Genomic DNA, 15,587 nt, shown 5'->3' with positions numbered 1-15,587 from the left:
AATTGATTACTGGCAGTGTGTGGTGGCTCCTGCCTGTAATCCTAGCACTTTGGGAAGCCAAGGCGGTGGATAGCTTGAGCCCAGGAGTTTGAGAGCAGCCCAGCTGGGCAACATAGCAAGACCCCATCTCTAAAAAATAAATAAATAAATAAATAGAAAGAAAGGAAAAAAGGAAAATCAATTACTGATACATTTAAAGCTATTTCCGGTTTCTTTATCAATTTTTCAATAATGTATTGATCTATTTTTCCATAAATACAAGGCCATCTTTAGGGTAAGTGTCTAGATAAACAATTTCATTAAAACTATTTAAAAGTCCACTGGTGCATACAACGTATAACTATTTATAAATGATGACATAAAATAATAGATTAACATGGTGGCAGGCACCTGTAATCCCAGCTACTTGGGAGGCTGAGGCAGGAGAATCTCTTGAACCCAGATAGCGAAGTTTGAACAATGGATTAAAATGTACTTATTGGTATATTCATTTTCCAGGACTCCCATATATATATATATATACATACACACACACACACTCGCACATATACATACATATAAATATATACATAAAATATCTGTGGAAAAAAAAAAGAAAATCTCAGGATGCCAAATTTACTATGCCAAAAGGAAAAAGTTAAGCCCAGAAGCTAAATTACACACACACACATCTGCCTTTCCTTTTGTTTCTAAACATAGTTACAGAAAGAAGGCTATATGTCTCCACAGAAGGCCTCCCTCACCCTGACAATGTAAATTAACAGCCTGTCTTCACAGGTCCATGTTAAGAGGAAACTAGAAATCATCCCCCCATCCACCCTGAAACAAATACTTATTTGACTGCTTCCTCTACTCTATGCGTATCTTATGTCAAGTGCGATTTAATGAGTGTGAAATAAATACATAGATTGTTCCCTCTATCCAACCCTTTGCACCTGCAACATACTGGATTCGGTAGCCTAATCAAAGCCTCACAAGAATGTGATCATATCCTACCTCTTTTTTTCTTTCCCCTTCTCCTTTCTGCCTACTTTTCCCCTTGAATCATTGAAGCCCTCAAAATCCTCTTCAGAAAAAGTACAGGCCACGCGTTCTACTGTGGCTGTCTGTCTTCCCTAGGCATGTCACCTCAACCTTGGCAACATAAACCTCTAAATGGATCGAGACTTGCCTCAGTCATTTTCTTCAGTTTCACATGTCTATCTCTTTATATAGTACAAATGCATTATATATGTCTATGTAATATTTATGTTACATATTATATACTACATATACACATATATTACACATATACATATACATATATATATACACACACCAACATATTTCTACATAGATATGCTGAATTGTCTCAGAATTCTCATGTCAATATCCCCAAAAACCTTTTTTTCCAACAAAAGTTTCTTTCTAAACATCCTTTCTGCCCTGCCTTTGTAACCCTGCAATTGCAGATTGGCGTGACTATAAGTTTATCGTAACCAACCTTTATTGGGCTCTCAAAACTGCCCAGAAATCTTGGTACATTCCAGTGGAAACTGGGCTTCGACAAACAGCTGTGAGCCACATTTAGAGTCCTCAGTGCATCCTGGAGAGGTACCAGTTTTGGAAAGACTCAAATGATGAGGGGCCTCTGGGAAGATCAATCAGAAAAATTCTGACATTTCTACTATATACTCCTTTCACCTTGAAATCCCCTACTAAACTTAAAAAGTAGTGTGGGTAGTCTGATAAATGCTTTCCACAAGAGCCCGGGTCATGCCTGCTTAGAGTCAAGTGGCATTTGGGACTGTGGAAGAGTCAGAAATGAAACACCACAGGTCCTATCCTGGATGTCATATTCTGTTGAAAGAGAAAAGTGCCCCTAAAAAAGCAGGAAGAAAAAGAAGGCAGAGGGACCTGAATTTTATTCTGCTTCCAATATACTAAGAACGTCACATACCGAAGATAAAGGAAATAAACAACAAAAAGAAATAAAGAAAAATGATTTGCAAAGAATGAAATCATGTATTTTGCAGCAACATGGATGGAATGAGAGGCCATTATCCTAAGCAAATTAACTTAAAGCAGGAACAGAAAACCAAATACCACATGTTCTCATTTACAAGTGAAAGCTAAACATTGTGTACACATGGACACAAAGAAGGGAACAACAGACACTGGGACCTACTTGAGCGTGGAGGTTGGATTGAAGGTGAGGATAAAAAACTACCTATTGAGTACTGTACTTAACAACTAGGTGATAAAATAATCGGTACACCAAACCCCTGTGACATGCAATTTGCCCTGTAACAAACTGGCATAGGTACTCCCTGAATCTAAAATAAAAGTTGAAAGGAAACATTAAAAGAAAAAGAAAAATAATTTGAAGCCAGAAATTCCAATGTACAATGTCAGCCTGATCTCCAAAATAATATTTTGAATATTTCCTGTATACCTGGACTCTCTACAACAGAAAATGGTACTTCTGATTTTGTAGGCTGATAGATGAAAAATGATGACCTTTGTGACCTTGATCATTACCATCTATCATATACATATTGATGTAAACCTGATAACCTTGGTAATTGTATCCATGTAAATGTATGTTGCACTTTGTATTTTGTTCTAGTCTGACAGATTGCACTCCTCGCAAACAAATCGTTCTTTGCATGCTTATATGTTTTCCTTTCTCAAATCTTCCTCAGTGTTTAGATTAAAAACATTAGATTTAAAAATCTGGATTCGGTACTGAAACAGAGGAAGCTCTGTGTAGGCCTTCACTGTTCAGATTGAGTGAAGAGGGCCTTCCGGCCTAACAAAGTTTCAGAACTGACTATGGCATGGTCTTCTTTGGAATTCTTTTCACCTATCTGGATAATCACGCACTCAGAGGTGAGGGGTCTCACAACCACAGCTACCTTAGTAAACACTGATACTCTAATCGATGCTCAACATCCTCATTAACCCCACACTCCTTGTATATACATACTCATGTACACACTCTATGTGCAAACTCACACTGCCAGGTATGTAGCTAGGCATGTGCCTTCACAGAATGTGTGTATTCAATAACCTTGAACTCATAGCATGATGGTAGCACACTAATGATACATACTTAAAGCAAATTATGATTCATAATTTGATATACACTTACGCTTATTCACACAAATACTCCTCTTATATGCAAATTCAGTGCCTTATACATGTGTTTATTAACATATCTCTCAGATACACACATCGACTCGACTTACATATCAGCAGTTTCATATTGTACAAAATATCCCCTGAATTATAAATATATGTACTCCGACTAAAAAAAAAAATACATGCATACAGATAAAATCACATTCATACAATCTCAACAACACACCTTTTTTGCACAAGCATTCAAATCCCCTGCCTTCCTACTTCTGTATACAGAGGAGAGAGGAAAGGGATGGGTTAATGCTTCAAGCTCTAGTCTCCAGTCTCAGAAGGAAGCCAGTGTGCATGTGAGGCACTGGAAATCAGGGGAGTGAGAAAACTAATACTTAAAGGTCGGAAACGTCCAGACATAACCCTTTAAATATGCCTTGATCTGAGGTCTCTGCCAAAGGCTGAATTTCAGAACTCCTTCTGGCCATGCCATGCTTGGTTAAAGACAGAGTAGAGGTCTGGGTGAGTGATCATCTGTACTTCAGGCACCTCTGCCCATCACAGAAAGCATTAGGAGTCATAGAGCTCCCAGAAGCAGGAAGGCCAATGCAATGGCCTAACTCAATGGGAGCTTCAGGTCTACAGATCCAAGACTACTGATCTTCATTCTAAGAATGGGAGAAGACTCAGTGCTTCCACTGTGTCCTCCAGGGAGACCTGAGAAAGGTAGGAATACTGCCTCCACACACAACATTTCCATAAGAGGTGGCTCTGAACCCCACACTGCTCCAGCATTATTGCTCTATGCCTTATTTTCAGATACCTCAAAGTGAAAAAACAGCTTCCTAGAAGCTATTCCTTAGCAAAATCTCTCAGTTGATTTTATCTTCTATTCCCTCACTGGCTTGAGCAACACAGCTGACTGATGAACTTAACTATTCTCACATAATGGGTGAGATCATTGAAATCCAACAGAGCCAGTGGGTGTTATAGTTGGAATCAAACCCAGTCTGACAGGTGAAAACTGAGCTCCACTCAGTGTGATAATACAGTTCTTGTAACCACATTTATATAACAAAACCCTACATGGAGGTTTTACAAGTTGATTTTATTTTGGGAAACAGAAAAATTAAATCTGACGTTAAACGTGTTATGTCCTTAGTTATAGTGTTTGAAAATGACATGATTTCATGTCAACTTTCAGTATGTACTATGTTCATAAGAATTCTAGCCTGTGGAGGGGAACAGATTTAAAAGCAGTGTTGGGGAGAAAGAAGTACTAGGGAAGAAGAGAAATTATATGGTTCTTTCTTTTCCTACCTTTTAGAGAATGTACATTCCATTTCTCAACACAGCAGCAAGCTGACAACCTGTGCTTCCTATGTTGAAAACCTCACATGCTGGACAAAAATGGCTAAGTATTGGTTAATTCCATGTCCACTCCACATGCCTTGAAGCATTAAGTCTGCCTGTGTTATGTTCATAAGTCTGTGAGAAAAGGAAGATAAGGGAATCACTGACAGTGACGGCACTAGATTCCGTAGGTCAGCAGAGGAAAATGGAGAGAAGAAAGGGAGGCACCTGTCAACAGTCCCCATCTCTCAATTCAGTCTTGGATACCAGGGCAGCCCTGCTCCTCCATTGTCCACCAAAAAAAAAAAAAGAAAATCTGAGAGCAGAAAAGCAGAGCAAGCAGAATGGAATGAGGAAGGCTGAGAGACATAACTTCATGGGGAAGCTCTGCCCTGTGAAAAGCCTACTGGGGAGTCAGAAGTATGAGTGAATGGGAAGACAGAAACTGGTTTGTAAAGGGGCTATAGAATACAGGTAGCTGAAACATGGCTGAGGAGAAACTCATCACTTCCTAAGGAGGGTGCAGAACAGGAGAGTTCTCCATTAAGGCTCATGGGCAGAATACATTAAAGATGTCCTCCCCGAGAAATCAGCACACACCCAGAGTACCAGGAGGCCAAGCTGGAGACTGTGCTAGAGGCTCCAGTCCAGTGAAGTAGCAGGGATCCTGGGTCCAAGTTCAGATCTTCCTCTAATTCAGCATGCAGTTGTGCACACCCCCTTCATGTTTGCCTTTGTCATGATAGGACAGCAAACTCTGCTTTCCCCAACCTGGGCAGGAGTCTGAATTGTTATCTAGCACAGGCAGCATGGGTACCACCAAGAGCACTGGCTGCAAAGTCATGCACCTCGATACTTAGTTGCTGTGTGATCTTGTGCAGATCACATAACTAGTCTGAACTCTGTTTTCTCATTGTTATAGGAGGATGCAGAGGTTTTGTGTGAGTTAGAAACAATAAAATTTGGGCTGGGCATAGTGGCATATGTCTTTAATTCCAGCACTTCGGGAGGCCAAGGCTGGCTGGTCACTTGAGCCCAAGAGTTTGAGACACGCTTGGGTAACATAGTGAGACCCTGTCTCTATTAAAAATACAAAAAATTTGCTGGGCGTTGTGGTGCGTATCTGTAGTTCCAGCTACCCAGAAGGCTGAGGTGGGAGGATCACCTAAACCCAGAAGTTCAAGGCTAGAGTGAGCTGTGATCACACCATTGCACTCCAGCCTGGACAACAGAGTGAAAGCATGTCTCAAAAATAAAAGAAAAAGAACAAGCAAATAAACAAATTTTTTATCATTTTTTAAAAATTATACTTTAAGTTCTAGGGTACAAGTGCACAATGTGCAGGTTTGTTACATATGTATACATGTGCCACGTTGGTTTGCTGAACCCATCAACTCATCATTTACATTAGGTATTTCTCCTAATGCTATCCCTCCCCCAACCCCCCACCCCCAGACAGGCCCCCAGTGTGTGATGTTCCCCACCCTGTATCCATGTGTTCTCGTTGTTCAACTCCCACCTATGAGTAAGAACATGCGGTGTTTGGTTTTCTGTCCTTGTGACAGTTTGCTTAGAATGATGGTTTCCAGCTTCATCCATGTCCCTGCAAAGGACATGAATTCATCCTTTTTTATGCCTGCATAGTATTCCATGGGGTATATGTGCCACATTTTCTTAATCCAGTCTATCATTAATGGACATTTGGGTTGGTTCCAAGTCTTTGCTATCATGAATAGATGCTGGAGAGGATGTGGAGAAATAGGAATGCTTTTACACTGTTGGTGGGAGTGTAAATTAGTTCAACCATTATGGAAGGCAGTGTGACAATTCCTTAAGGATCTAGAACTAGAAATACCATTTGACCCAGCGATCCCATTACTGGGTATTTACCCAAAGGTTTATAAATCATGCTACTCTAAAGACACATGCACACGTAAGTTTATTAAAAAAAATTGTTTAAGTCTATAGTGCTAAGTCTCCAAAAATAACAATTATTTATTTATTTATTTTTTAAATTTTACTTTAAGTTCCGGGATTTGGCCAGCACCCCTTATATTGCCTCGTACAGCAATGAGGATGGTCTGGGTATGCATTTCAAGGTACCCCTGAAGCTGGGGGACTGTCCCCACGACAATTTGAGGGTGATATACAGGGGCAAGTGACAGAAAGACTTCGGCTCAAACAGAATATACAAAACAGCTTGGAAAGTCTGGGACAGGCAAAGGGGGACAGAGATATAGGTGGACCCCGGATATAGGTGGTTTTGAATTTTTACCATACTCTACATACAAGTATTTGTTTTGAGCAAACCTATATCTTATTCTCTGGCAGGATGGTCAAGATTCCAGTTTAAATCTAGACTTATAAAGTCTGAGCCCTATTTCTCCCAGTCTGTTATAAATCTTGAGAGATTTATCAGTGTGCTGTATTCAGGAGACCCATCTCACGTGCAGAGACACACATAGGCTCAAAATAAAGGGATGGAGGAAGATTTACCAAGCAAATGGAAAACCAAAAAAGGCAGAGATTGCAATCCTAGTCTCTGATAAAACAGACTTTAAACCAACAAAGATCAAAAGAGACAAAGAAGCCCATTACATAATGGTAAAGGGATCAATTCAACAAGAAGAGCTAACTATCCTAAATATATATGCACCCAATACAGGAGCACCCAGATTCATAAAGCAAGTCCGTAGAGACCTACAAAGAGACTTAGACTCCCACACAATAATAACGGGAGACTTTAACACCCCACTGTCAACATTAGACAGACCAACGAGACAGAAAGTTAACAAGGATACCCAGGAATTGAACTCAGCTCTGCACCAAGCGGACCTAACAGACATCTACAGAACTCTCCACCGCAAATCAACAGAATATACACTCTTCTCAGCACCACATCGCACTTATTCCAAAATCGACCACATAGTTGGAATTAAAGCACTCCTCAGCAAATGTAAGAGAAATTTAGGAAAAGATAAGGCCTTTGGGGGATCTTGAAGAAATTCTTTTCAGGATTTTTTTTTTTCTAGTGAATGAGACATGTATTAGTTCCAAGAGGTGATGGGTATTTAAATGCATACTTTTCTTGCCCAGGTGTTTCTCTTTTGAAGGTGGTAAGAACTGAGGCTTTCAAACAAAGCACAGGCAACTGAGTTTAGTGAAAAAGTGTTGGGTAAGAACAAAATGAGCTTTGTGCCATCGATTCTGAGATTGATAGTGATCACCAAAAAACTCAAAGAGTGGAATAAACTCAGGTAAGATGAATAGAGACAGACAGTGGGGCTCACACAGTATCTACTGTAGCAGGGCAACCTCTATGGCCTCAAGGTAGTCAATAGGGCTCTGTCTGGGTATTTAGAATATTGTTAATCAGTTAATGAGTCTGCTGCCTTTGAATAATGACATTTATTTGCTACTTTCCTCAGGAATATTTTATTAAATTCCTACTCTGCACCAAGCACAGAGATGCTAGAGATAGTGTGGGGTTCACAGCTGACTTCATGAAAAATTCCTCTTCTAGGACAGAGGTTGGCAAACTATAGCCTGGAAACCAACACCTGCTTGCAACCCATTTTTGTAAACAAAGGTTTATTGGAACACACCACACTCACACATTTATGTGTTGACTATGGTTACTTTCACACTACAATGGCTGAATTGATCTGCTGCAACAGACAGTATAGGCCACAATTTCTCAAAATTTTGTGATCTCACTTTTTAAAGAAAAAAAGTTTGCTAACTTCTTGTCTAGGAGAAACCTACACTAAAGATAATAAATTAAATTATAAATGTACAATTGGTCAGTAGATTAACTTCCCACCCAAGCCCTTGTGGTAACTGACCTAGATTCAAAGCTAACTTCAAAGCAATACATAAATTGCTATAGGCTTGCAAACTCTACTGACTTCCTACTCTGAGAAATTGGCCAAGTGGCTAACCAGAGGTTTAAAAAGGACCTGTGGAAAAGTTTAAGCTAATCAGCTGTTAGTTCTATAGAACTGAAGAGCAAGAATTACTATAATATTACTTGTCATGATGATTTTCCCTTAGCAGATGCTACTTTCAAGAAAAATATTGATTCATTTTTTTTTTTTTTTTTTGAGGCGGTTTCGCTCTGACACCCAGGCTGGAGTGCAGTGGTGTGAGCTCAGCTCACTGCAACGTCCAACTCCTGGGTTCAAGTGATTTTCCTTCCTCAGCCTCCTGAGTAGCTGGGACTATAGGCGTGCTCTACCATGCCTGGCTAATGGGGTTTTTTTTTGTTTTGTTTTGTTTTTGTATTTTTAATAGAAAAGGGGTTCCACTATGTCAGCCAGGCTGGTCTTGAACTCCTGACCTCAAGCAATCTGCCTGCCTCAGCCTCCCAAAGTGCTAGGATTATAGGTGTAAGCCACCACACCTGGTCAAGAAAAATATTGATTCTTAAAAAACAGTTACACATGCAACTAGTATGTTCTACCCCATTTTGAATGACATAAGTACGAAAAACAACAGTAACATCATGTCATGTTGTAACATATTATTTATTAAAACAGTTGAAATTATTCTAGTTTATAATCAAACCCAATCACCCTGGTATCCAATAGTCCCATCCAAAAGCCTTGTATATAATAATAACACTTGTTTTGATTGTTATCATCTGCAGAGAGTAGATTGCGTTCCCAGCAGAGACCATATTAACCAGTCCATGGTGCTGGCTTCAGGGAACAGCTCTTCTCATCCTGTGTCCTTCATCCTGCTTGGAATCCCAGGCCTGGAGAGTTTCCAGTTGTGGATTGCCTTTCCGTTCTGTGCCACGTATGCTGTGGCTGTTGTTGGAAATATCACTCTCCTCCATGTAATCAGAATTGACCACACCCTGCATGAGCCCATGTACCTCTTTCTGGCCATGCTGGCCATCACTGACCTGGTCCTCTCCTCCTCCACTCAACCTAAGATGTTGGCCATATTCTGGTTTCATGCTCATGAGATTCAGTACCATGCCTGCCTCATCCAGGTGTTCTTCATCCATGCCTTTTCTTCTGTGGAGTCTGGGGTGCTCATGGCTATGGCCCTGGACTGCTACGTGGCTATCTGCTTCCCACTCCGACACTCTAGCATCCTGACCCCATCGGTCGTGATCAAACTGGGGACCATCGTGATGCTGAGAGGGCTGCTGTGGGTGAGCCCCTTCTGCTTCATGGTGTCTAGGATGCCCTTCTGCCAACACCAAGCCATTCCCCAGTCATACTGTGAGCACATGGCTGTGCTGAAGTTGGTGTGTGCTGATACAAGCATAAGTCGTGGGAATGGGCTCTTTGTGGCCTTCTCTGTGGCTGGCTTTGATATGATTGTCATTGGTATGTCATACGTGATGATTTTGAGAGCTGTGCTTCAGTTGCCCTCAGGTGAAGCCCGCCTCAAAGCTTTTAGCACACGTTCCTCCCATATCTGTGTCATCTTGGCTCTTTATATCCCAGCCCTTTTTTCTTTCCTCACCTACCGCTTTGGCCATGATGTGCCCCGAGTTGTACACATCCTGTTTGCTAATCTCTATCTACTGATACCTCCCATGCTCAACCCCATCATTTATGGAGTTAGAACCAAACAGATCGGGGACAGGGTTATCCAAGGATGTTGTGGAAACATCCCCTGAGCAAAGGGTCAGTGTATCCCCATCACTTACATTGCCCCACTAATGTGGGGACATTAATGAACATTTGACAGGCTATTACTTATTATCACTAAGTCAGCTCTGTAAATAACTGGCTCAGAGGTAAGCAACCCTCTAGAGGCAAGAGAAACAATTTTCAGGGTACCTAGAAAAGAGATACCTGAGAGATGTGATGGATAAGAACAACTTTGTTGACTACATATTCATCATCACATGGAAACAATAAAAGTAGTTTTACCTATTAAATCAGTGAATATTTTAAAAGAATGTCATCTCCCACAGATGATTAAGGTAAAAAAGTTGTTTTTACACTGTCAGTAGAAGTAGGTACACTTTGCTTAAAAGAAATTTAGAAATTTACATCAAATAATTTAAAAGTACATATATTTCTTCATCTGAGAATATGTTTATAAAAATAAAGTGCATATGTACAAAGACATGCATAAAATCATGCCTTATAAAAACAAAATATAAAATGATTCAAATATTGTCCTATAAGATTACAGATGAAGCAATACTCTGTTGAATATCAGGTGCCATTTAACTATTTTATTTGAAAGGACTATCTGAAAATTTGACAAATAAGCAAGATATAATCTTAAATTGAAAAGAAAAACTATCGCCCATAAGGCTTGGTACCAATTCTATACTGGAATACGTACGTAAAGAAAGGAATTCAGGAAATATATCCAAATGATAAAAAATAGCTGCTTGGAGTAGTGATGCTTATGGCATTTTCATTATATTTTTATACTTTAGTGTATTTTTAAATTTAATTTAATTATGTTTTTATTGATAAAAATGATTTTACATATTTATGTGATACAGTGTGATGTTCACCTAGTACTTATCACAAGATGGCTTTTGCAGGTCCAGGTCCATTTTTATCTCATTTCTCCAAAATTGAATACAATACCATACCTCTCAGTCCCAAGGACTTCTTTTATCACCCTACATAATTAAAATTGTAAAGGATATTGTCAGATAAGATAAATTTGTTATACAGATAGCAAATTGTCCTCCAGTCACTTTTTTAATGAAAAATAAAATATTTGTAACATTTTAAATTTCTATTCAAGTAATATATTGAGCAATTACTCTTCACCTAGCATTCTGCCAAAAGGTGGGGATAGAATAGGGAACAAAAGAAACTGACAAACAGAACATCTAATTTGCATGATTTCCACCCAAAATCAAAACAATGAATACCTGCAATTCCAGCCCAAATATAGACATTAATTAGTTAAGCTGTATTACTCTATCATGATTGTAAGTAAACTTAAATATTCTGAACCAATGAAAATAGATGACTAACTTCATTATAACATGAAGAATCCTTATGTCCAAAATATAAAGCATATGACTAACTCAAATGTGCCTGTAGTTGATATGATTTGGACCTGGCTCCCCTCCAAATCTGTTGAAATGTGATTCCCAGTGTTGGAGGTGGGGCCTAGTGGGAGGGATTGGATCATGGGGACAGATCCTTCATGAATGGCTTAGCACTATCTCCTTGGTGATGAGTGAGTTCTTTCTCAGTTAGATCATGCGAGATCCGGTTATTTAAAAGAGTCCTAACTGGGCTCGGTGGTTCACACCTGTAATCCCAGCACTTCGGGAGCCGAGGCAGGCGGATCACGAGGTCAAGAGATCAAGACCATCCTAGACAACATGGTGAAACCCGGTCTCAACTAAAAATACAAAATTAGCTGGACATGGTGGTGCACGCCTCTAGTCCCAGCTACTTAGGAGGCTGAGGCAGGAGAATCGCTTGAACTGGGGAAGCGGAGGTTGCGGTGAGCAGAGATCATGCCATTGGACTCCAGCATGGGCAACAAGAGTGAAACTCCATCTCAAATAAATAAATAAATAAATAAATAAATAAATAAATAAATAAATAAATAAATAAAAAGTCCGGGACCTCCCCCTCCCCCTTCTCTCTCTCATTCCCACTCCTGCCATGTGATGTACCAGCTCCTCCTTTGTCTTCTGCCATGATTGCACACTTTCTGAGGCCTCACCAAAAACAAGCTGGCACCCATGCTTGTGCAGCCTGCAAAACTGGGACCTAATTAAACTTTTCTTTATAAATAACCCAGCCTCAGATATTTTTTTATCGTGATGCAATGGACTAACAAAGGAAATTTGTACCAAGTATAGGGTAGTTGCTGTAAAGACACCTGAAAATGTGGAAGCTGCTTTGGAACTGGGTAATGGGCAGAGGTTAGAAGAGTTCAGAGAACTCAGAAGAAGACAGGAAGACAAGGGAAAGTTTGGAACTTCTTAGAGACTGGTTAAATAATTGTGACCAAAATGCTGATAGAAATATGGGCAGTGAAGTTCATATGAACTTGAAGTGAAGAAATGAACTAAGTCCACATGAACTTGAAGTGAAGTGAAGAAATATGGACAGTAAAATCCAGGCTGATGAGTTCTCAGATGGAAATGAGGAAGCTATTGGGAGCTGGAATTAAGGTCATTTGTGTTGCACCCGAGCAAAGAGCATGGCTGCATTGTGTCCATGTCCTAGGGACCTATGAAAGTTTGAACTTAAAAGGGATGACTTAGTGTATCTGGAATAAAAAATTTCTAAGCAGCAAACCATGCAAGAGATGGCCTCACTGCATCTAACAGGCTACAATCAGATATAGGAGCAAATAAATGACTTAAAGTAGGAACTTATATTTAAAAGGGAAGGAGAGCATAAACATTTGGAAAAGTCACAATCTGGCAATGTGATAGAAGAGGAAAGAGCATTTCCAGGGAGGAAGTCAAGTAAGCTCTGGAGAAATCACTTGCTAGAGAGATTAGTATGACTATAAAGAAGCCAAGTGCTAATATCCAAGCCAATGGGAAAAAAGGTCTTGAAGGCATTTCAGAGTATTTTGAGGTAGTCCATCCCACCACAGGCCTAGAGGCCCAGGAAGAAAAAAATGGTTTTGGGGGCCAGGCCTAGGGACCACTCTCCTGTGTAGCCTTGGGACACTGCTCCCTGCATCCTGACTGCTCCAGCTACAACCATGGCTCAAAGGGCCCTAGGTGCAGCTTGGGCTGCCACTCTAGAGTGTGCCAGCTGTAACTCTTGGCAGCTTCCATGTGGTGTTAAGTCTGCAGGCACACAGAAAGCAAGCATGAAGGAGGCTTGCAGGCTTCCCCCTAAATTTCAGGGGATATACTGGAAAGCCTGAGTGCCTAGGCAGAAGCCTGCTGCAGGGGAAGAACACTAACAGAGAGACTCTAGTAAGCCAGCGCTGAAGGGAAATGTGGTGTCAGAGTGTCCACACAGTCTCCACTGGGCCACTGACTAGTGGACCTGTGGAAGGGGGGCCACTGCCCTCCAGATCCCAGAATAGTAGAGCCAACAGTAGCTTGCATCCTGAGCCTGGAAAAGCCACAGGTACTCAACTCCAGTCCATGAGAGCAGTCACAGGGACCACACCCTGCAAAGCTACAGGGGTGGACTTCCCAAGCTCCCAAGGAGCACACTTGTTGCACCAGTATATGCCCTAAATGAAGGACATGGAGTAAGGGGCGATTATTTTGGAGCTTTAAGGTTTAATGTCTGCCTGCTGGATTTCAGAATTGTGTGGGACTTATTGCCCCTTTCTTTTGGACAATTTCTCTCTTTTGGATTGGGAATATTTAACCAATGCCTGTACCACCATTGTATGCTGGAAGTAAATAACTTGTTTTGATTTTACAGGCTCATAGGTGAAAGGAGATGAGTCCCAGATGAGACTTAGGACTTTGGACTTGTTGCTGGAATGAGTTAAGACTTTGGGGGACTATTGGTAAAGGATGATTGTATTTTGCAACGTGAGAAGGACATAAAATTTGAAGTGCCAGGGCATAATGATACATTTTGGATGTTTGTACCCTCCAAATCTCATGTTGAAATGTGATCCCCAACATTGGTGGGAGGTAATTGTATCATGAGGGTCGATCTCTCATGAATGGCTTAGCACTATCTCCTTGGTGATGAGTGAGTTCTCCTTCAGTTAGTTCATGTGAGAGCTTCTTGTTTAATAGAGCCTGAGACCCCCCCCTTCTCTCTCCTGCTCCCATTCTTACCATGTGATGTGCCAGCTCTCTCTTTGCCTTCCACCATGATTGCAAGCATCCTGAGGCCTTGCCAGAAGCCTAGAAGACACTGGTGCCATGCTCGTACAGTCTGCAGCCTGAGCCAATTAAGTCTGTTTTCTTTATAAATTACCCTGAGGTAATTTTCTTAAAGTCTCAGGTATTTTCTTAAAGCAAAACAATGGACTAACAAGATAAACATTTACAGAAGCTATCAAGTGAGCTTGTTGACTGAGGGACTCCATTTTCCATTTGTAGGCGGGCAGAGACCTCACGGTGCCTTTCTTCCCTCAAATAAACAAATCTATAATCACAGTGACTAAGAAAAGGCCAGACAAAACCGTATTAAAGGCAGCTCCTGGTACATCAGCTTTTCGTGGTTTTCAAACATGACTTAGAACCAAACTGTGATGTCAGGGCTCCGTTTTAGAGTACTTTCCAAAAGGGGAAAGCTTCATCAGTATTTTCTACTCTGCACAGAGCCAAACATAATGTTATTATTTTTTCACACTCAAATCAACAAGCAATTTTTGACCAATAACTGTTTCTCCAGTGTAATGCTTAGTGCCTGGAATACAGAGCTAAAAGTTCACATCTCTTCCTTAGAACCCATCTCTGTGCTCCCACAGTATTTGTTCCATTCTGTTCTCATCATACCCACTTCCTCCTCTATGCCATAATGATCTGGTGTGTGTCAGCCTCCATGCTGTGCACACCATGAGAAAAAATGGTGCTTTAGTTACCTCAGATTTCAGCAAATCCTAGCAGAGTGCAGGCATCAATAAGTACATGCAAAGCAGTATGTTTCCGTTCAATGGAGAGTAGAGGCATGTCAGTAAAGACCTAAAATATAAACTTTCAATACTTTGCATTTTGAGTATTGTGTGTATTTATGCCATGTAGGTAGACCCGTGGTCTAGACCTCCCCTGGAAGATGATAAAGCCGAAGGCTGAAGGTGGGTGAGGTCCTGTAGTCCCACCTTGACATGAAAAATTTTGAAGTTTAGTCTTGGTCTGCTAATCCTGAAGTCACTGGCTCATCCTGCTCTGTCTTCTGAGGCCAGAGGTGGAAGGAAAGAAAGGTCCAGGTGATGTGTAAAGAGACTTTGCAGAGCTTGTCTCTTCCCTTCACCCCATCCCCACCCCTGATGAATCTGGACTGTCAGTCTTTGGTTTCCAGTTCTCAACATGTCTATCTTAAGTATGGGCCGTCGTAAAAGAGATTTGAAATTCTCTAGTTTTGGGAAGTCCTCCAGATGCCAGCCCTAATATTTCCCACAGGTCAATATGCAGAAAATGCATCACTGCATTTCAGCATGTGAAGTCAATGTAATCATCCAATTCCACTTTGTAGATGAGGAAACAGAAACCAAATAACATAAGT

At 40.7% G+C, this 15,587-nt stretch overlaps 2 protein-coding genes across 3 annotated transcripts in view; one reads left to right on the top strand and one right to left on the bottom strand.

The window, feature by feature from the left end:
- The window catches only part of MMP26 (matrix metallopeptidase 26), a 287,646-nt gene that overhangs the window by 178,892 nt on the left and 93,167 nt on the right, over window positions 1-15,587 (bottom strand). The gene's annotated exons all lie outside the window — the stretch shown is intronic.
- Window positions 9,158-10,105, top strand: OR52R1 (olfactory receptor family 52 subfamily R member 1). Its single transcript, NM_001005177.3, has one exon. The coding sequence runs from the start codon at window positions 9,158-9,160 to the stop codon at window positions 10,103-10,105; it is 948 nt and encodes a 315-aa protein (NP_001005177.3).

This window comes from Homo sapiens, chromosome 11, assembly GCF_000001405.40.
Source record: "Homo sapiens chromosome 11, GRCh38.p14 Primary Assembly".
NCBI classification, from domain to species: Eukaryota; Metazoa; Chordata; class Mammalia; order Primates; family Hominidae; genus Homo; species Homo sapiens.
Note: the sequence above shows the minus strand (reverse complement) of the source record. Positions and strands in the feature narration are given on the sequence as shown.